The 21,356-nt window shown below is 36.9% G+C and overlaps 1 protein-coding gene across 7 annotated transcripts in view; it reads right to left on the reverse strand.

Annotated features, from left to right (window-relative positions):
* FGF12 (fibroblast growth factor 12) overlaps window positions 3,265–21,356 on the reverse strand; it is a 588,152-nt gene continuing 570,060 nt past the window's right edge. For all 7 annotated transcript variants that reach the window (NM_001377293.1, NM_001377292.1, NM_004113.6 and 4 more), the window contains one exon: window positions 3,265–8,002. In NM_001377293.1, the coding sequence (NP_001364222.1) occupies window positions 7,884–8,002 (119 nt within the window). In that variant the 3' untranslated portion in view covers window positions 3,265–7,883. The remainder of the gene's footprint in view (window positions 8,003–21,356) is intronic.

Genomic DNA, 21,356 nt, shown 5'->3' on the forward strand with positions numbered 1-21,356 from the left:
CCATTTTGGACTGTGAATAAATGGTACTTTGAAGAAAAAGTACATTGAATTGCAGAGACTTCGGTCATGATGTCTTTGAATGGTCCAAATAACATGTGGAATGCCTGTATTCAGGCTTATCATTACACACACACACAAAAAGCAAACAAACCCACAACCTTCCAATTTAATTTAGCCACTATTTTCTTGGTTGTAAAGGTAAAGTACCAATCAGATCTATTATGAGGGTATGCTTATGAGGTGAAGCCGTCAGCATAGAAAATAATTACTCAAAACACTAGGGAAAAATATCATCAACAAATTCAGAGTTAAGTCAGTCAATGAAGCAGTGGTACAACCGAAAATGCATATAAGAAACAAAAAGATGAAACAGGCAAGGAAAATGACATCAGAGACAAGTCATAGCATGACTGACATGCAATTCATATATTAAATACTCCTCCTGCAATGTTCTTCTTGTGTATGTCTTTGTGTGCCTCTCTGGGTCAGGAACATATTTTTCAAGACAGCAAATTGCAGTGGGTAGGCAAGGTTAATACACAAGTAGGTATAATATATAAGAGACATAGCACAGAAATTAAGATACATTGTCTTTCAGATAAGGTTGTCAAAATGAATTAGAAAAATAATGTGACAACAGCAATATTATTTTATACTCATAAGAAAAACAATTGTGAAAGTATGTGCTCAGAAGATGCACTTTACTTTTAAATAAAATGTATTCAATCCTCTCAAAAAAACAAACCTGAAAGTCAGTGGAAAATCAAGACTTTTTTTGAAAGATGGTAACCCAAGGTTTTGATGCCAATATAAATATAAAACCAATACTTCTCACAAATGGAATAGGGTAGTTTGGATTGTTAATACACTTAGTGTCATTCAAAGTGTTCAAAACACGTGCTATGTTCTGTAGAGGAGATTCAAGAAAGGCACGCGTTCGGGCGAGGTGGGGTGCCTGCAATCCCAACACTTTGGGAGGCCGAGGTGAGCGGATCACGAAGTCAGGAGATTGAGACGATCCTGGCTAACAGGGTGAAACCCTGTCTCTACTAAAAATACAAAAAATTAGCCGGGCGAGGTGGCGGGCGCCTGTAGTCCCAGCTACTCGGGAGGCTGAGGCAGGAGAATGGCGTGAACCCGGGAGGCGGAGCTTGCAGTGAGCCGAGATCGCGCCACTGCACTCCAGCCTGGGCGACAGAGCGAGGCTCCGTCTCAAAAAAAAAAAAAAAGAAAAGAAAAAGAAAAAAAAAAGAAAGAAAGACATGCACGGTTGTTGCAGGTGATTTTGAAGTGCAGCATTTTCTAATGGCCTAATCCTAGCAGTGCTTGCATGGGTATGAATAAAAGTAGGTATGATATGAACCTCTGATCTAGAATAAGCAAGCTGCATTTTCTAACCCCCTCCATGAGAGTCATCTAAAAGCATTGAACATATCAGATATATCGAGTTATTGTCAAATGTACCACTTTTCTTTAAAATTGCAGCTGTTTATCTCTTCATCAGTGACCTGCACAGTGCCTTCTTCATAGCAGTCACTTAATAATGCTTAGGGAATTGAATTGTCAATGTTTTTGTTTGTTCTTATGGTTTATGGCAGTAGCTTTAATTAATCAATATTTGCATTTCTCTGCGGATTTTTAGAATAGCCAATGACTTGTGATAGAAAATACATCTATTCATTAGTAATGGAGATTTGCTACTTTTTGCTCTTCATTTACATTTCCTCTTGATAAAAGGGATCTGAATTGCATTCAAATATTTACTCCTCAACCATGCAGACTTGTATCTTGGGGGACAATCCAACCTCCAGGTCTTGGTTGACTTACACTAGTCAACATATCTCAAGTCTCTGGCCATGGTCAGTCACTGAAGTGTGGACAGATGATCTAAATCAGGCCAACGAAATGTAAGATGTCGTCTGGGGGATTCTAATAGAGAATAGATGATATAAGCATGCAGGTTCTGAAACTACTAAAGGAAATTCTGCCTCTAAGGGAGAAGTTATACATGGAGGTGGACAGAGCTGAGAGAACTACAAAGTAAGCCTCGATGGTGATGCTGTGTACCTAGATATTCGAGATGAAGCGCCAGTTTGGTTTGGGGATTCTGTCTGAGCAACCAGAAGCATCCTAGCAGATACAGATGTTCAAACAAATACAAAGGCTGTATTGAAAACCTTTGAGGCCGGGCGCGGTGGCTCACGCCTGTAATCCCAGCACTTTGGGAGGCCGAGGCGGGTGGATCATGAGGTCAGGAGATCGAGACCATCCTGGCTAACAAGGTGAAACCCCGTCTCTACTAAAAATACAAAAAATTAGCCGGGCGCGGTGGCGGGCGCCTGTAGTCCCAGCTACTCGGGAGGCTGAGGCAGGAGAATGGCGTGAACCCGGGAAGCGGAGCTTGCAGTGAGCCGAGATTGCGCCACTGCAGTCCGCAGTCCGGCCTGGGCGACAGAGCGAGACTCCGTCTCAAAAAAAAAAAAAAAAAAAAAAAAAAAAAAAAAAAAAAGAAAACCTTTGAGTAACTTTTCGTTTTTATTGATCTCAACTCAGTTTTTCTTCCACCTCCTTTTCTGAACATTCTTCCCAACCAAGCCCTGTTTTCCAAGTATCCATCTTTCATTCAAATGATTTCCTCTACTTGAGAGGCCTTTGTCGTCCCCCTTTATCACTCAGCAAATATCTGTTCTTTTTCAATCGCTGTCTTGCCTCTAATCCCTGATGATGCCTTTGTTGCCTCCTCAGTGGTATATAAAATCTTTTTTGCATTTATCATAGCACATACTTTTAGGTATTGCATTATTTATTTATGTGTCTGCCTTTGTTGTTGTTGTTTTGAGATTGCAATTCAGTGTATGATGCCTAAACTCAACTGAGCCTCTAGTTGGTATGTTATGAATAAAAGAATAAATGAACGTACTTTAGTTCTTAATCCTTGAAAGCAAGATGTCAGGTTGAGACAAGTAGCTACGTAATTACAAAGAAACATTTACTTTTCTTTCAACTCTTCTACAAAATTAGACATCTTTCCCATCTGTAAATCAATTTTTGATCTTTTTCTTAAAAAGACACAGCGCTTTTTCAGCAATATAGGATAAACACACTAAAAAAAAAAAGGTAGACTTCTCAAAGAAGTTTAATGTTTAAAAAAAAGTGCCAGTATTTCGTCTACGTGCATGAGCATCTCAGGATTTTAATTGTTTTTAATTCCAGGAGGGTAATGATGTATAAACGTTTTACAAATCTGAGCTCAGAAAACAATGATTTGAATAATCTGTGCTTTAATGGAAAAATGAAACATTAATTTGTTTAGTTTCTCATACAACATGTTTACTAAACATTTCAGTGTCAATAATTTCTTAAGATTGTAACATTTAACCTTGTATTGGAGCTAATACCAATTCTAGCCATGGGAGTATGTTTTGGACTTTTTGAACAATTTTAAGTAAAATGAATGTCACTGTCTTTAAATTGTACTTGGAGCAAAGACAAAGAAACATCAGCTCATTCTTTCCAACTAATAGAACATTTAATGATGCAATTTTTATTACATTATTTTAAGGCTATTATCATAATGTTAAATATTCTTATTTTTTTTTGCTTCCGTCTGTTACTAAAGCTCAATACATCATTCTGAACATTATTAATTTTCACTTAACTTAGATTTAAGTATTGAATTTTTAACTTGGGCTCCAGGAAAAATCCTGAAAAAGAAAGATCAGCATCTAGCATCCTTTTCCTATTCTTTCACCACAAATTCTCAATTTGATATGACTTAACATGAAATCTGTATTGGGAAGTATAGATTTCTAAGATAACTTTTTGTAACTAAAAAATAATTTCCTGTGCATCACAAGGGGGATTAAAAATCACCAAAGTACTGAAGGAACACGTGCTTTGATTATTATTCCCACCTGTTTCTTTTTTATTATAAAGTGGCAATTTGTACCATCATTAGAAATGTACATTAATGTATAAAGTTTTGCATTCAAATCTCTTTATTTTTGATTACCTATGACTAAAGACCACAAATCAAATAAAAACTCATATAATATATCCTTATTTCAGAAGCATATGTATATATACACATATATATTTGTAGAACAATCCACTGTTTTAAATGTAATTTTGACTTAAAAAATGCTATTTACAATTTTATGACAGAGAAATAACCTCAGCCTTTTATGGTATTAAAATGAGCAGGGAATTTTTATGTTTGTGTCTCATCTTGTGCAGATGAAATTAAGCAATATCATGGAAAACCTTCTCAAGAGCAAGGCCTTGTAGACTAAGGTATGAGGGTGAAATCGATTTGCTATTTCTGGGTCTATGTTTTTAAAAAATTACTGGCAACGTAGTCATACTTACTTCTTCACCAAGAAATCAGTGCTCCCAAATTAGGAATTCCAAACTTTTCAATATGCAACCTTTAAGTCTTTCCTTGTCCTTACTCTTGTCTTAATACTCTCATCTCCCACTAGTGGCACCGCAGGACTACCAATCTAGATATTAGATTGTTGCTATTTTATTAAACAGAAGAGTCTTAGTTCTTTTAAACAAGCTTTCTGAATTAGAATGAGGCCCATAAAGCATCACATTGCATTACATTGATATCTCTTTATTGCGCCAATCCATAATGGCTAAAAATGTGCTATTAAATTGTATGTAAATTTCAAAGCCAAAACGATTACTATGAGAATAGGATGGCTTGCTGCCCTCCAATTTGCGGAAGCACAAAAGTCTCTGAATTAGCAAATGGAACTTCAGCTCCATTTGTTTCTATACTTTATTCTGCGAGCTTAAAAATCAAGTAAGGTGTATTGACCAGAAAGCTATTTTGTGAGACTCTCAAAAGTTTTGTTTTCATTCTTAAGCTCGTTGATTTTGAAACTTATTCCAATAAGAACTCAGAATAAACATATCTTAATTTATATCTGCGTAGCCAATTGCAAAGCATTACTAAAAGCCATATTTTTTCCTGGGAAAAATCCCAATGCAACTCCAAAAAAAAAAAAAAAAAAAAAAAAAAGCTTATTTTACTTAAAAAGGAAAAGTGACGAATGAATTGAAGACCCAGAAATCAGAACAATGAAAATCAAAGAATTATTATACTTGAAATAAGCCTGAAAAACAAAGTACTTAAACTCAACCATATTTTTGGATGAAGTTGGATATTATATGTTTACACATGGTAATATTTTTAAAAACTCAGTGAATACTGGCATATTCTATTAAAGTTTTCATGTACTTGAGAAGTAAGCAGGAGTTAAGCAAACATTCACCCTTTGCTCTAAGCTACATTTTTTGTCAGGTTTATGTGTAAAAGAAATCAGGTTTCCAATTAATTCTCTGAACTAAACTGGAAATAAGACAAAGCTAATTTCCAAAACATTTTACTGCAGTGAACATTTGCTTAACATAATACGGAGAAAAACAATATACAAATTGTGTGGTTAGAATTTTTTCTTAACTGCTATCAGGAAGGAGACAAATGTGAGTCTAGATGATAAATGATGAATAGCCACTGAAAATGGAGGAATTTTGTTAGTGATTCATATCTCTATTTTTTTCATAACAAACTTAATTAAATATATTTTGTCATGAAATCATAATTGTAATTGATTTTTATGATTTGCATCAATTGTGTTATTTATGAAACCATCGTTTTACTGATGAGTGTGTATGTGTATCATCACTACAAAAGCTCAAGTCATTTCATGCTAAAAGAGCCAGTGTCCCATAGTGTTGAAGTTTCTTTTTTATTTTTTTCAAATAAAATAAGCTTTGTGCTTGGGATTTTTTTCTTTTTTTTTTTGGTTCTGGTAGTGACAGGTGTATTTATAATCAAGTTGAATCAAGAGTGACAAGAAGAAATACAGCTAGAGTTATATTTTTGCCCCAGGGGTATTCTTTTCCTAGAAGAGCAAGTCCATTTTTAGAAAATTTAAATGTCTTTATTTGTTACTTTCCAAATATTTTGGTTAAACAAATATCTCTTGCAAATGTATCTTCAAAATCTTTGCCTACATGCATACAATTTGTTCTTCCCAACTGCTTAGGGAAATTCCTTCATTTCATTTTCTGCTAACCTCTAGATAACAGAAATAGGATACCTGGTGAAGGATATGGTCCACTATTGAAGAATAATGATTGTGTAAAGTGAGGGAAACTATATTGACCTTGAAATACGGCAACCAATGGCAAGGTTTGAGGTGAGGGCCTAGAGCTTCTGCAAAGTGTATATATTTTAGGGAGTCATATTTGGAACAATACATGCTGGACAGTAGAGATATAGGAGAAGTTACATGCTATGTCTTCTCATTGATAATATCCATAAATCTGCATACATTTTTTAACATTCTGTTTTGTGTTTTTTTTTCTTTAAATTTGGATGTCTCTACACCACTCCTGATTTGTAGGACTAAATAGATCTATTTATTCCAATGCAAATTGTGTAACATTTATTTCTTCCTTGATTTTTAAAAATACTTTAGTATTCTTAACTATGTATGTGCCTTCTCTTACACTGAGTTCTTTTTTGCTCCTTTCAGCTGCTCACACAATCCTGTCTGTTGGAGTCATAGCTGCTAATTCCATATTATTTCTCTACACACCTTGAAAATTTAGTGTATTACTGGTACCCTTCTGTGTTCTAGGAAACAAATGAATTGCAAACTGGACTTGTAACAGGATCATACATAGAGCAACAAATTAGCTACTGGCTTTGTAAGATAGTAAGTTAGGAATTTCACAGTCATGTCTCCAAATTTCATGGCAGAGTTTAAAAAACAATATAAGACTGTGGTAAGGTACAAACGCAAATGCAATTTGCGTTGACTAATTTCCTAGGACTTATTTCCTTATGTAAAACCCCTGTTCTTTCTTTCCTGCCACAAGACAGGGTACAAAGCTTTCTAAAACATGCTCTCAGGTGTCCACACCTGAGACATTGCTTTGTGGATACTCTCAAAGGTGTCCACAAAGCAAAAAAATCAGACCAAATGCTAAGAGCAAGTAACTTATACCTCACCACCTGGACATGGCACTGGCAAAAGTCACTTCAGCATTAGAACAGTAATGTTTTTGCTAAATTACTAAAAAAAAAAAAAAAAGAAAGAAAGAAGAACTCCGGAAATAATATCTTTGATAAAAATGTTATACTCTAGGATAATTTGAAATCATTTTTGTGAAAGAATTAAACTCATTAAGGCTATTCGATGCCATACAAGATTTTCCTTTTACATAAAACAATCTTAAATTACATCTCAAAAATAATTTCTTACACTTTTCTTGATGATAAATGGTTCCTGGCTATATATTTTATAGGTATTAACATAGTTTATAATTTGGAAATGTTCAATTTCATGGTTACAAAAAAAATCCTGCAAACAGAATGTAATGGTGTGTCAATTCCAGATGCCCAAATAAAATACAAAATCAAGCAAAACCACACATCGCAGCATTATCATGAGTTTAAGCTATTGAGTATATAACATCAGTTTGTGAGTTCAATTCTCCAAATCCTTTCCTTTAAAGTAATAAGTTTATTTCATCTTTATTAATGTCTTCATTACAATTAGCCTTCTACTAATAACAATACAGTTTAATTTAATATTTATGGAGTTCTGATTTATTTTTTCCTTTGCTTTTAAGTGTGCTAATCTTTGTGCACGTGAATTTTCTACCACATTGCAACAAGCAAGCTTTGGTTCAATTTTCTTGTCCTACACAAAGGAAGATTTTGAGTGCAGAATCTTAGCCACTAGGTCTTGCGTTGTCATTTTATTTTCCTCTCCTTGGGTGGATTTACTGGAAGGAAATGGGTAAATGGGAAGGAAGGGAAGGGGAAGGGATGAGAGAGGGAAGAAGGGGAGAGTTCTCAGCTATGTTGAATCTTGATTCACAACTTTGCCTCCATTCATGGTTGGTGTTCCAGAACTTTTCCTTGAACGCCCTTGTTTTTCTCCAATTTCATGTAGCGATGGTTCTCTGTACATACACACTGAAAGGCAAAATAACAAAAATTACTTATGACAGTGGACATAAATTTCCTTCAATAAGCTTTTCAAATTTGATTTTACAATATTCTTCACTCTCATCACAAGCTCTTCTTCTCATTATAAAAAAACAGTTTTAACTTGATAATCAGTGAATACACTTAATTTTCTTTCAGTTCTTTCAGTCACAACCTTTTAAACTTTTCTTGAACTGCAGACATTTAAGTAAGTTGTTTCTGTTCTCTCATAGATAAGGCTTGAATCTTTACAGTTTCCTAACCTAGAAAAGAGGATTTTCATCCAGAGTCAGAGGAGACATGGGAAATATTTCGCTTTTTGGTCCTTAGTCTGCAGTCTAATTCGGGTAGGTAAAAAAATATTCATTTACATGTTGCTAATCTTTACCCTACCATAGGAAATATAATGTATCAAACTGAAATATTTATTGCCATTTCCAGGGCATCCTATGTAAAAAAATAAGGGAGGACAGAGAAGAGGAAAAAAGATGAAGCAATTTCCCCGACTGCCCTACATTTAGCTAAAGTAAGAAACACAGTCCGTGACTTTGTAGTTTTTCATCAATAGGGAACGTGATTATGCAAGCATGAGACTTCAGTTCATATCTATATAAACCGTTCTTTTCTCCTCTATTGTATTGTCTGGCTGTAAAGTTCAGTCATCTGTGAGCCATCATGGCTATTCCTAGATAATTGTTTAGAAAGAACGATGTTTTCAAATTATTCAAGTTATTCTTACAAAACACGTTAATTCAGCTTCATTACACTCTTGTGAAATAGACAAATGTGACTAGATAAGAGTATATGATATGTCTCAGGTAAATATCAGGAGTTACTTTTATCCTCGGCTTAGGAACAAACAGGTATCTCCACCTATTAAACCATCATTACAAAGATTTGATAATTTGAATGTTACTTCCAACATCAAATAGCTTCCTCCCTTGAACTTTGAGTGGTTACCGATTTGCGAACCATGCTACCCGGATCCACACCCTGACTCAGCCATCTCCTAGCCTTGTTAATTTGGACACATTTTCATAAATGAAAAATTGCATATTTATGAAGATTAAATGCCTTGCATAGAGCAAGTACCAAAAAATGTTTATGAAAATTAAGGAGCTGATTTCTTTGTGAGCATTTTGAATAACAGATCTTCAGAGAATATAGAAATAAATTGTTTTGGCTGAAAGTATTCTAAATCCAAAACTAGACTAAAACAGAATTTAGAATACAAGTGAGAGTCTCCTGAGACTGGTTCAGTGATGAGGAGACAGATTTCTTCCAACATATTCTATTACAGAACTTCTTAAATGTTACCGTACATGGGAATCACCTAGGAATATTGTTAAAATGCAGATTATGAATCAGAAGGATTGTAGTGAGCTTGAGAGTCTCCATTTTAAATAGATCTCAGGTGATGTTGATGCTGATAAAACCCAGACTACACTCTGAGTAGCAGAAAATATATGAATAAAATATGTGTGTTAAGGCTGTTATGTAAATTAGCCACATATATTTTAATGAGATTTAAAAATATTTCAATTACTGCACGGATGGCTCTTCCAACATCCCCAAAGGACTAAATGCCCTTGGCTGAAGTAACAGAGTATACAGAGGAAACCAGCTCAGAGAGTAGATCATATAATTTTCAAATGACACAAGTAAGTCATTCAAGTTTGTCTTTCTTCTTCTTTTTTTGTTTCAACAAATAGAAGATCCTTAGGGAATATCTTGCCAGAATCTTGAAGTTCCCTAAGTCTAATGGTGCTTACCTCTCTTTCTATTATAAAAAAAATTAAAAACTCCAAAATTAAAGCATAGTTTTTTATTTGTGCAAAATACAACCATTTACATAAAACTGCTCAATGCACAGGGGAACGCAAGAAGCAACGAGGTGATTTAGCTGGAACACTATTCATATGATACCATAAAATAGTTCTTCCCAACTCTGTCACCTAATCAGCTGTGAAAACTTACACATCTGCAGGTCACCCCACAGATTGCTAAATCAGAATCTCAATGAATTTACAAAAATCTCCTTTTTCAAAAATAATATATTTTGACCTGCAAATCCTTAAGCTTCATCCAGGGATACTTGAGGAATAAATTTTCTAATTTTCATTAAAGTGTATATTTTTTTTTTTTTTTTGAGACGGAGTCTCGCTCTATAGCCCAGGCTGGAGTGCTTTGGTGCTATCTAGGCTCACTGCAAACTCCGCCTCCCGGGTTCATGCCATTCTCCTGTCTCAGCCTCCCAAGTAGCTGGGACTATAGGCACCAGCCACCACGCCTGGCTAATTTTTGTATTTTTAGCAGAGATGGGGTTTCACCGTGTTAGCCAGGATGGTCTCGATCTCCTAACCTCGTGATCCACCCGCCTCGACCTCCCAAAGTGCTGGGATTACAGGCATGAGCCATCGCGCCTGGCCTAAAGTGTATATTTTTATCACTTTTTAAGCTGAGTTTCTTAGAGTTGCAATTTCCTTTTTAGTTTTTTTATGCCACAGATTCTACCCAAAACATTCACTTGGACTTTTATCTTTTTTTTTGTTTTGTTTTCTATTTCTCACTTGCACATAAAATACTTCATTTGTGTCAACACACAATGTTACTGTTATAATTACTGCTGCAGATAACTTTTCCAGTAATTTAACCCTGCTGGCCATCCTTATATTGAGCGGTATTGCAAATTGACATCTGAAAATATACAGTGTTTCAAAAAGACCAAAAGTCACCAGTGCCACAGCAAGATGTAAAATTTGCTCTTTTTCTCATACAACTCATTTTCTAATTTCCCAATCTTTGCACTAAATGGAGTAATAAAATTAACGGTTTTGAAAACCTAGTTCATGTCCCAGTTAGAAAACGACAAGTAAAAGGTAGGTTTTCCAGTTCACTGATGAAAACTGCCCCCCTCCTCAATAAATCAAATAGGTATTTGAATTTCTATACTTCTGTTAACCAAAATAAAAAGATGTTCAGAGAAAGCAAACTAAAGTTATTCTAGAAACTGCATGCAAATACAAATACGGAGAGCAAAACCTTGGTCAAAGCAATAGATTAAATGTAATTTCTTGAGCATTAATTTTCATTGTTATTTACAGGACCTAGGATTCAGTAATATATCTAAGAAGCTGACAAATCAAGGGGAATAAGTCTCAATCAAATTTCTGAATTACAATATAATTTAAAGACCATAATCCAATTAGAAAGCAAAGAAAGAATAAAGTACCTCCCTTCAGTAATATAACTGCCTTACTACCATCCATAGTTGCATTAACGCTTAATGACTGCTATTCTGAATGTACATGGTAAATAATGAAACAAAATTAAGGAAGGAAACAAGGCGTAAGTGTTCTCTAAAGTGCATTATATGTGCAAAACGTAAACGAAAATCACCATGATGTATATAGCAGCCTCAATATCATTTCAGAGTATTCAAAGCAATTTTAAATTGATTAACTAAATTTTACAATTATAACCCAGTGAATATAGTAGGTGAGAAATTATCACCCCCATTTTTTTTAAATATAAAAGAAATTAAGCCACTTCCATAAAGTCAGAGAGTGAGTAGTGGCAGGGCCAGGATGAATATTTAGGGTTTCAAGGTCCTAGTTAAGAGTTTTGAATAAAATCAGAAATACCATAATTTATCCAACAAACAATGTAAAATGACTGACATATCAGTGTTTGAATTCTTATGTCTGTATGTTAATCAAGATTTAAGTTGGCCTTAACTTCACTAAATATTCCTAAAGTCATTCAGAAATGGTAATAAAAGAAAACATATGGCTGTTATAAACAAAATCAAAAAAGAAAGTAACAAGAGTTGGTGAGTATGTGGAGAAATTGAAACCCTATTCATTTCTACTTAAATGTAAAATGGCTCAGCCACCGTGGAAAATGAAATGGTGATTCCTCAAAAAATTAAATACGGATGTACCATATGATCCAGCAATTCCAACTGTAGGTGTACACTCAAAATAAATGAAAGCAGGGACCCCAGCATCTATCTGTACATCCATGTCCATAGAAGGATTATTCACTGTAGCCAAAAGATGGAAGCACCAAAATGTCCATTGACAAATGAATGGGTAAATATAATGTGGCCTATACATATAATGAAATATTATTCAGCCTAAAAAACAAAATTCTGACACATACTACAACATGAATGAACCTTGAAGAAATTCTGCTAGGTGAAATAAGCCAGTTACAAGGAGCCAAATATTGATTCCACTTATGTGAGATACCCAGAGTAGTCAAGTTCACAGAGGCAAAAAATAGAACTGTACTTGCCAGGGGCTGGGGAAGAATGGGGATTTCTTATTTAATGAGTACAGAGTTTCAGTTGGGGGAGATGAAAAAGTTCTGGAGTTGGATGATGGTGATGTTTGCACAACAATGTCAATGTACTTAACGGCAATGAAACATATACTTAAAAATGATTAAAATGGTAAATTTTGTATTATCATATTTTACCACAATTAAAAAGCAAACAAACAAACAACTTGTCCTGAATTGTCCTGAGTATAAGGTATAAGAAGTGACTATTAAAGCCAGAGGTGTTCCATTTGCATAGGAAGAGCCAGCAATTCCCCAATAATAAAAAACATTAGTTTTAGAACTGTATTAAGGAAGAGGGAGTTGAGATATAACTGAGGAGGTACAGGGCGAGGAAAAGGATAGAGAAATCTGATGAAAATATTCTAGGACTGTGCTGCCTAGTATAGCATCCATTTAGCCATATGTGGCCACTGAGCACGTACAATGTAGCTAGTCCTAATTCAGATGAGACATAAGTGCAAAAATAAACACTACAGGACTGGGTAAAATAGGGAGGTGATGACGAATAAGAAGGATAAGGCTAATTTGTGTCAGAGCTTGCTGAATTCCAGGCCAGAAAATTTAAACCGTGAACATCATATATATCAGGCTCAATATGATAGCAAGTGAAGAGTTAATATACTTAGTTAATTAAGTGATATGATAGCAAATGAAGAGTTAACGTCCATCCGACATGAGTGTATAAAGAAAAATCTATTAATTCCTTTATGTAGAAAAATGTCTAGGTTTACGTGATATGGATACAACTAGTCAGTATAGTCAAGAAAAATCATTCAAACTGAATCTCACTGAGTGAACTCTGTAAGGAATGACTGGCAGCATTTGAACCTTTTTTTTATTATTATACTTTAAGTTTTAGGGTACATGTGCACATTGTGCAGGTTAGATACATATGTATACATGTGCCATGCTGGTGCACTGCACCCACTAACTCGTCATCTAGCATTAGGTATATCTCCCAATGCTATCCCTCCCCCCTCCCCCCACCCCACAACAGTCCCCAGAGTGTGATATTCCCCTTCCTGTGTCCATGTGATCTCATTGTTCAATTCCCACCTATGAGTGAGAATATGCGGTGTTTGGTTTTTTGTTCTTGCGATAGTTTACTGAGAATGATGATTTCCAATTTCATCCATGTCCCTACAAAGGACATGAACTCATCATTTTTTATGGCTGCATAGTATTCCATGGTGTATATGTGCCACATTTTCTTAATCCAGTCTATCATTGTTGGACATTTGGGTTGGTTCCAAGTCTTTGCTATTGTGAATAATGCCGCAATAAACATATGTCTGCATGTGTCTTTATAGCAGCATGATTTATAGTCATTTGGGTATATACCCAGTAATGGGATGGCTGGGTCAAATGGTATTTCCAGTTCTAGATCCCTGAGGAATCGCCACACTGACTTCCACAATGGTTGAACTAGTTTACAGTCCCACCAACAGTGTAAAAGTGTTCCTATTTCTCCACGTCCTCTCCAGCACCTGTTGTCTCCTGACTTTTTAATGATTGCCATTCTAACTGGTGTGAGATGGTATCTCATAGTGGTTTTGATTTGCATTTCTCTGATGGCCAGTGATGATGAGCATTTTTTCATGTGTTTTTTGGCTGCATAAATGTCTTCTTTTGAGAAGTGTCTGTTCATGTCCTTCGCCCACTTTTTGATGGGGTTGTTTGTTTTTTTCTTGTAAATTTGTTTGAGTTCATTGTAGATTCTGGATATTAGCCCTTTGTCAGATGACTAGGTTGCGAAAATTTTCTCCCATTTTGTAGGTTGCCTGTTCACTCTGATGGTAGTTTCTTTTGCTGTGCAGAAGCTCTTTAGTTTAATTAGATCCCATTTGTCAATTTTGGCTTTTGTTGCCATTGCTTTTGGTGTTTTGGACATGAAGTCCTTGCCCATGCCTATGTCCTGAATGGTAATGCCTAGGTTTTCTTCTAGGGTTTTTATGGTTTTAGGTCTAACGTTTAAATCTTTAATCCATCTTGAATTGATTTTTGTATAAGGTGTAAGGAAGGGATCCAGTTTCAGCTTCCTACATATGGCTATCCAGTTTTCCCAGCACCATTTATTAAATGGGGAATCCTTTCCCCATTGCTTGGTTTTCTCAGGTTTGTCAAAGATCAGATAGTTGTAGGTATGCGGCATTATTTCTGAGGGCTCTATTCTGTTCCATTGATCTATATCTCTGTTTTGGTACCAGTACCATGCTGTTTTGGTTACTGTAGCCTTGTAGTATAGTTTGAAGTCAGGTAGTGTGATGCCTCCAGCTTTGCTCTTTTGGCTTAGGATTGACTTGGCAATGCGGGCTCTTTTTTGGTTCCATATGAACTTTAAAGTAGTTTTTTCCAATTCTGTGAAGAAAGTCATTGGTAGCTTGATGGGGATGGCATTGAATCTGTAAATTACCTTGGGCAGTATGGCCATTTTCACGACATTGATTCTTCCTAGCCATGAGCATGGAATGTTCTTCCATTTGTTTGTATCCTCTTTTATTTCCTTGAGCAGTGGTTTGTAGTTCTCCTTGAAGAGGTCCTTCACACCCCTTGTAAGTTGGATTCCTAGGTATTTTATTCTCTTTGAAGCAATTGTGAATGGGAGTTCACTCATGATTTGGCTCTCTGTTTGTCTGTTGTTGGTGTATAAGAATGCTTGTGATTTTTGTACATTGATTTTGTATCCTGGGACTTTGCTGAAGTTGCTTATCAGCTTAAGGAGATTTTGGGCTGAGACAATGGGGTTTTCTAGACATACAATCATGTCGTCTGCAAACAGGGACAATTTGACTTCCTCTTTTCCTAATTGAATACCCTTTATTTCCTTCCCCTGCCTAATTGCCCTGGCCAGAACTTCCAACACTATGTTGAATAGGAGTGGTGAGAGAGGGCACCCCTGTCTTGTGCCAGTTTTCAAAGGGAATGCTTCCAGTTTTTGCCCATTCAGTATGATATTGGCTGTGGGTTTGTCATAGATAGCTCTTATTATTTTGAAATACGTCCCATCAATACCTAATTTATTGAGAGTTTTTAGCATGAAGGGTTGTTGAATTTTGTCAAAGGCTTTTTCTGCATCTATTGAGATAATCATGTGGTTTTTGTCTTTGGCTCTGTTTATATGCTGGATTACATTTATTGATTTGCGTATATTGAACCAGCCTTGCATCCCAGGGATGAAGCCCACTTGATCATGGTGGATAAGCTTTTTGATGTGCTGCTGGATTCGGTTTGCCAGTATTTTATTGAGGATTTTTGCATCAATGTTCATCAAGGATATTGGTCTAAAATTCTCTTTTTTGGTTGTGTCTCTGCCCGGCTTTGGTATCAGAATGATGCTGGCCTCATAAAATGAGTTAGGGAGGATTCCCTCTTTTTCTATTGATTGGAATAGTTTCAGAAGGAATGGTACCAGTTCCTCCTCGTACCTCTGGTAGAATTCGGCTGTGAATCCATCTGGTCCTGGACTCTTTTTGGTTGGTAAACTATTGATTATTGCCACAATTTCAGCTCCTGTTATTGGTCTATTCAGAGATTCAACTTCTTCCTGGTTTAGTCTTGGGAGAGTGTATGTGTCGAGGAATTTATCCATTTCTTCTAGATTTTCTAGTTTATTTGCGTAGAGGTGTTTGTAGTATTCTCTGATGGTAGTTTGTATTTCTGTGGGATCGGTGGTGATATCCCCTTTATCATTTTTTATTGTGTCTATTTGATTCTTCTTTTTTTCTTTATTAGTCTTGCTAGCGGTCTATCAATTTTGTTGATCCTTTCAAAAAACCAGCTCCTGGATTCATTGATTTTTTGAAGGGTTTTTTGTGTCTCTATTTCCTTCAGTTCTGCTCTGATTTTAGTTATTTCTTGCCTTCTGCTAGCTTTTGAATGTGTTTGCTCTTGCTTTTCTAGTTCTTTTAATTGTGATGTTAGGGTGTCAATTTTGGATCTTTCCTGCTTTCTCTTGTGGGCATTTAGTGCTATAAATTTCCCTCTACACACTGCTTTGAATGCGTCCCAGAGATTCTGGTATGTTATGTCTTTGTTCTTGTTGGTTTCAAAGAACATCTTTATTTCTGCCTTCATTTCGTTATGTACCCAGTAGTCATTCAGGAGCAGGTTGTTCAGTTTCCATGTAGTTGAGCGGCTTTGAGTGAGATTCTTAATCCTGAGTTCTAGTTTGATTGCACTGTGGTCTGAGAGATAGTTTGTTATAATTTCTGTTCTTTTACATTTGCTGAGGAGAGCTTTACTTCCAACTATGTGGTCAATTTTGGAATGGGTGTGGTGTGGTGCTGAAAAAAATGTATATTCTGTTGAATTGGGGTGGAGAGTTCTGTAGATGTCTATTAGGTCCGCTTGGTGCAGAGCTGAGTTCAATTCCTGGGTATCCTTGTTGACTTTCTGTCTCGTTGATCTGTCTAATGTTGACAGTGGGGTGTTAAAGTCTCCCATTATTAATGTGTGTGAGTCTAAGTCTCTTTGTAGGTCACTCAGGACTTGCTTTATGAATCTGGGTGCTCCTGTATTGGGTGCATATATATTTAGGACAGTTAGCTCTTCTTGTTGAATTGATCCCTTTACCATTATGTAATGGCCTTCTTTGTCTCTTTTGATCTTTGTTGGTTTAAAGTCTGTTTTATCAGAGACTAGGATTGCAACCCCTGCCTTTTTTTGTTTTCCATTTGCTTGGTAGATCTTCCTCCATCCTTTTATTTTGAGCCTATGTGTGTCTCTGCATGTGAGATGGGTTTCCTGAATACAGCACACTGATGGGTCTTGACTCTTTATCCAATTTGCCAGTCTGTGTCTTTTAATTGGAGCATTTAGTCCATTTACATTGAAAGTTAATATTGTTATGTGTGAATTTGATCCTGTCATTATGATGTTAGCTGGTGATTTTGCTCGTTAGTTGATGCAGTTTCTTCCTAGTCTCGATGGTCTTTACATTTTGGCATGATTTTGCAGTGGCTGGTACCGGTTGTTCCTTTCCATGTTTAGCGCTTCCTTCAGGAGCTCTTTTAGGGCAGGCCTGGTGGTGACAAAATCTCTCAGCATTTGCTTGTCTGTAAAGTATTTTATTTCTCCTTCACTTATGAAGCTTAGTTTGGCTGGATATGAAATTCTGGGTTGAAAATTCTTTTCTTTAAGAATGTTGAATATTGGCCCCCACTCTCTTCTGGCTTGTAGGGTTTCTGCCGAGAGATCCGCTGTTAGTCTGATGGGCTTCCCTTTGAGGGTAACCCGACCTTTCTCTCTGGCTGCCCTTAACATTTTTTCCTTCATTTCAACTTTGGTGAATCTGACAATTATGTGTCTTGGAGTTGCTCTTCTCGAGGAGTATCTTTGTGGCGTTCTCTGTATTTCCTGAATCTGAACGTTGGCCTGCCTTGCTAGATTGGGGAAGTTCTCCTGGATAATATCCTGCAGAGTGTCTTCCAACTTGGTTCCATTCTCCCCATCACTTTCAGGTACACCAATCAGACGTAGATTTGGTCTTTTCACATAGTCCCATATTTCTTGGAGGCTTTGCTCATTTCTTTTTATTCTTTTTTCTCTAAACTTCCCTTCTCGCTTCATTTCATTCATTTCATCTTCCATTGCTGATACCCTTCTTCCAGTTGATCGCATCGGCTCCTGAGGCTTCTGCATTCTTCATGTAGTTCTCGAGCCTTGGTTTTCAGCTCCATCAGCTCCTTTAAGCACTTCTCTGTATTGGTTATTCTAGTTATACATTCTTCTAAATTTTTTTCAAAGTTTTCAACTTCTTTGCCTTTGGTTTGAATGTCCTCCCGTAGCTCAGAGTAATTTGATCGTCTGAAGCCTTCTTCTCTCAGCTCGTCAAAGTCATTCTCCATCCAGCTTTGTTCCGTTGCTGGTGAGGAACTGCGTTCCTTTGGAGGAGGAGAGACGCTCTGCATTTTAGAGTTTCCAGTTTTTCTGTTCTGTTTTTTCCCCATTTTTGTGGTTTTATCTACTTTTGGTCTTTGATGATGGTGATATACAGATGGGTTTTCGGTGTGGATGTCCTTTCTGTTTGTTAGTTTTCCTTCTAACAGACAGGACCCTCAGCTGCAGGTCTGTTGGAGTACCCTGCTGTGAGAGGTGTCAGTGTGCCCCTGCTGGGCGGTGCCTCCCAGTTAGGCTGCTCGGGGGTCAGGGGTCAGGGACCCACTTGAGGAGGTAGTCTGCCCGTTCTCAGATCTCCAGCTGCGTGCTGGGAGAACCACTGCTCTCTTCAAAGCTGTCAGACAGGGACCTTTAAGTCTGCAGAGGTTACTGCTGTCTTTTTGTTTGTCTGTGCCCTGCCCCCAGAGGTGGAGCCTACAGAGGCAGGCAGGCCTCCTTGAGCTGTGGTGGGCTCCACCCAGTTCGAGCTTCCCGGCTGCTTTGTTTACCTAAACAAGCCTGGGCAATGGCGGGCGCCCCTCCCCCAGCCTCGCTGCCGCCTTGCAGTTTGATCTCAGACTGCTGTGCTAGCAATCAGCGAGATTCCGTGGGCGTAGGACCCTCCGAGCCAGGTGTGGGATATAGTCTCGTGGTGCGCCGTTTTTTAAGCCGGTCTGAAAAGCGCAATATTCGGGTGGGAGTGACCCGATTTTCCAGGTGCGTCTGTCACCCCTTTCTTTGACTCGGAAAGGGAACTCCCTGCCCCCTTGCGCTTCCCAGGTGAGGCAATGCCTCGCCCTGCTTCGGCTCGCGCACGGTGCGCGCACCCACTGACCTGCGCCCACTGTCTGGCACTCCCTAGTGAGATGAACCCGGTACCTCAGATGGAAATGCAGAAATCACCGGTCTTCTGCATTGCTCACGCTGGGAGCTGTAGACCGGAGCTGTTCCTATTCGGCCGTCTTTCAGCATTTGAAACTTTTATGAGTTGTTCTGGTGCTTTGCAAACACAATCACAATTTCGTAGGAATAAATCTAGCTGAAGTCCCACTGTGTGTATAGGGCCCACTGTTTATCTAATATACCCATTCCAAGTACCATAATTCTGAATGCAATTGAAAGGTGAGGTTCATTTGGGCGATCTAAAACATGTTCTTTTGTTTTGGGGGGGAGCTTAAGAAGCCTAAACAAACAAAAAATAAATTAAGAATTACTAATGTCATTGCTTCTGGCCTTTTGGCTATGAACAAGTATGGAGAATTACTAATACCACATAGAAAATGGGAATCACATGTACTTTATAGTAAAATTTATTCATGATCTTATATAAATATCAGCACTAGAATTTGGAGTTCTGCTATTAATTTCTAATCACATACTATTAAGCATTTAGGGGAAACCTTTAGCAAGTATGTCCAGAGAACTGTCTAGGCTCTGACCTTCAATAGCTACATGAATTCTACAACTCTTAAACTGTGGTTCTCAAATTATTCTTATCCTATGCCAGATTAAGTTTCTCTCTTCCTAATAATCAGATCCTTATTATTAACCAGAAAGATTCCTAGTCCCTTGATTTGTAGTAGCTCGAAGTGCAATGTATTTCAAGAGGGACTTTTTCCATCTCTTTCTGTTATAATGCGCAATATTATTTCACCAGGAATAGATTTGCCATGCTTTAGGAGGTGCTAGAATTTTTTTTAAATCTCTTTTTTTTCTTCAAAAATTATTTTCCTGTTTCCTCTGTGTTATGCACTGGAGGCCACTTCAGCTATGAGAACAAAATTTGATATTTTAGTTCTTATGATAAGCAGTAATTTCTAGACTGGAAATAACATGAAAACAAAACAAAGAAACAGAAACTCCCTATCTTTCTTGTCTTCCCAGTTCCCCAATCCTGTTCCACAAAAACTCAGATTCAGTGGCACTTCTCATATGAAATTGGAAGCAAATCCTCTAATTTAGACAATATGGGATGTTACTAGTTAACTATGTCTCACTCAGGACCTTGGGGCAACACTTGTGATATAGATTTTATTTTCAGCAGGTATGATGTTATAGATAGTACTTAGTATAAAACTGATTTAAACTTTGTTTCTCTCTGATTGCACTTGATACTATTTTTCCAACACAGTTTCAGTACCCAAATTTCAAGGATGTTCAGTGTCCTAAAGATGCAAGGCCTGCAAGATAAATAAACAATGTTATTTCCCTTTCATCTGGCCTGCAAGATAAATAAACAATGTTATTTCCCTTTCATCTGGCTTTTCTGGGTTGTCCTTGATCAAGCCGCTTGCCCTCTTTCTATTCATTTGTCAAGTACATAGAGTAGGAAAAGAAATATTTGCTTCCCTCACCCCAGGATATTTCTGAGATAAAATATCATTGCTCCTCTAATGCATGTATCATCATAATAGTTTTGGACAAATGGTAAAATACGATCATGTTTTGAAGAGGAAGCATTTCTTTTTGGTTCTTCTGTACTCTTTCTTCAAATCAAAGCACACTCTTATTTCACTTCTTTTCTTCTTATTTTTCCTCTATTCTGACTTACATTTCAATTTTCTTCCTTCTTCTTAATGTTTCTTTCTATTCATGCTTTTGACTTTTCTAGAGCTATCGTAGATTGAAACGGAGAGATTTAACCCAGCTTTCTGAGTGAAAATAAGGTAGAGATTTGGTGCGAGAGTGTTCCTCCTTATTTTCAGACACAAGGACAAGCAGGTTTCTAATAACACAGCTCACAGTATGTACTACTTTAAAGCACAGTATTTACTAGAAACCAGTTTAACCCTTGAATGTCAGCAGAATGCACTTGTGAGATAGACAGTAGTTACCAGGTGACCCAGCACAGTGAAGGTTTTGATTTTAACAGCTGTCTGAGCATGCACTGACCATGTAGCCATAGAAAGCCCTGCAGTTCTGGTAACACAAATACAATGCAACACTTGGTCAGAACAGGACCATAATATATTGACTCTGTGATGATATATGGTATTTGTTCTATTTATTTAATTCTTGCTTCATTTTAAAGTGAAAAATTTACACTTTTAGAAAAGAGAAATGTGAAATATATATCACTGAGCTTTGAAGTATTGTCAAAAACAATCCATTTTCTCTT

This window comes from Homo sapiens, chromosome 3 (genome assembly GCF_000001405.40).
Source record: "Homo sapiens chromosome 3, GRCh38.p14 Primary Assembly".
Classification (NCBI taxonomy): Eukaryota; Metazoa; Chordata; class Mammalia; order Primates; family Hominidae; genus Homo; species Homo sapiens.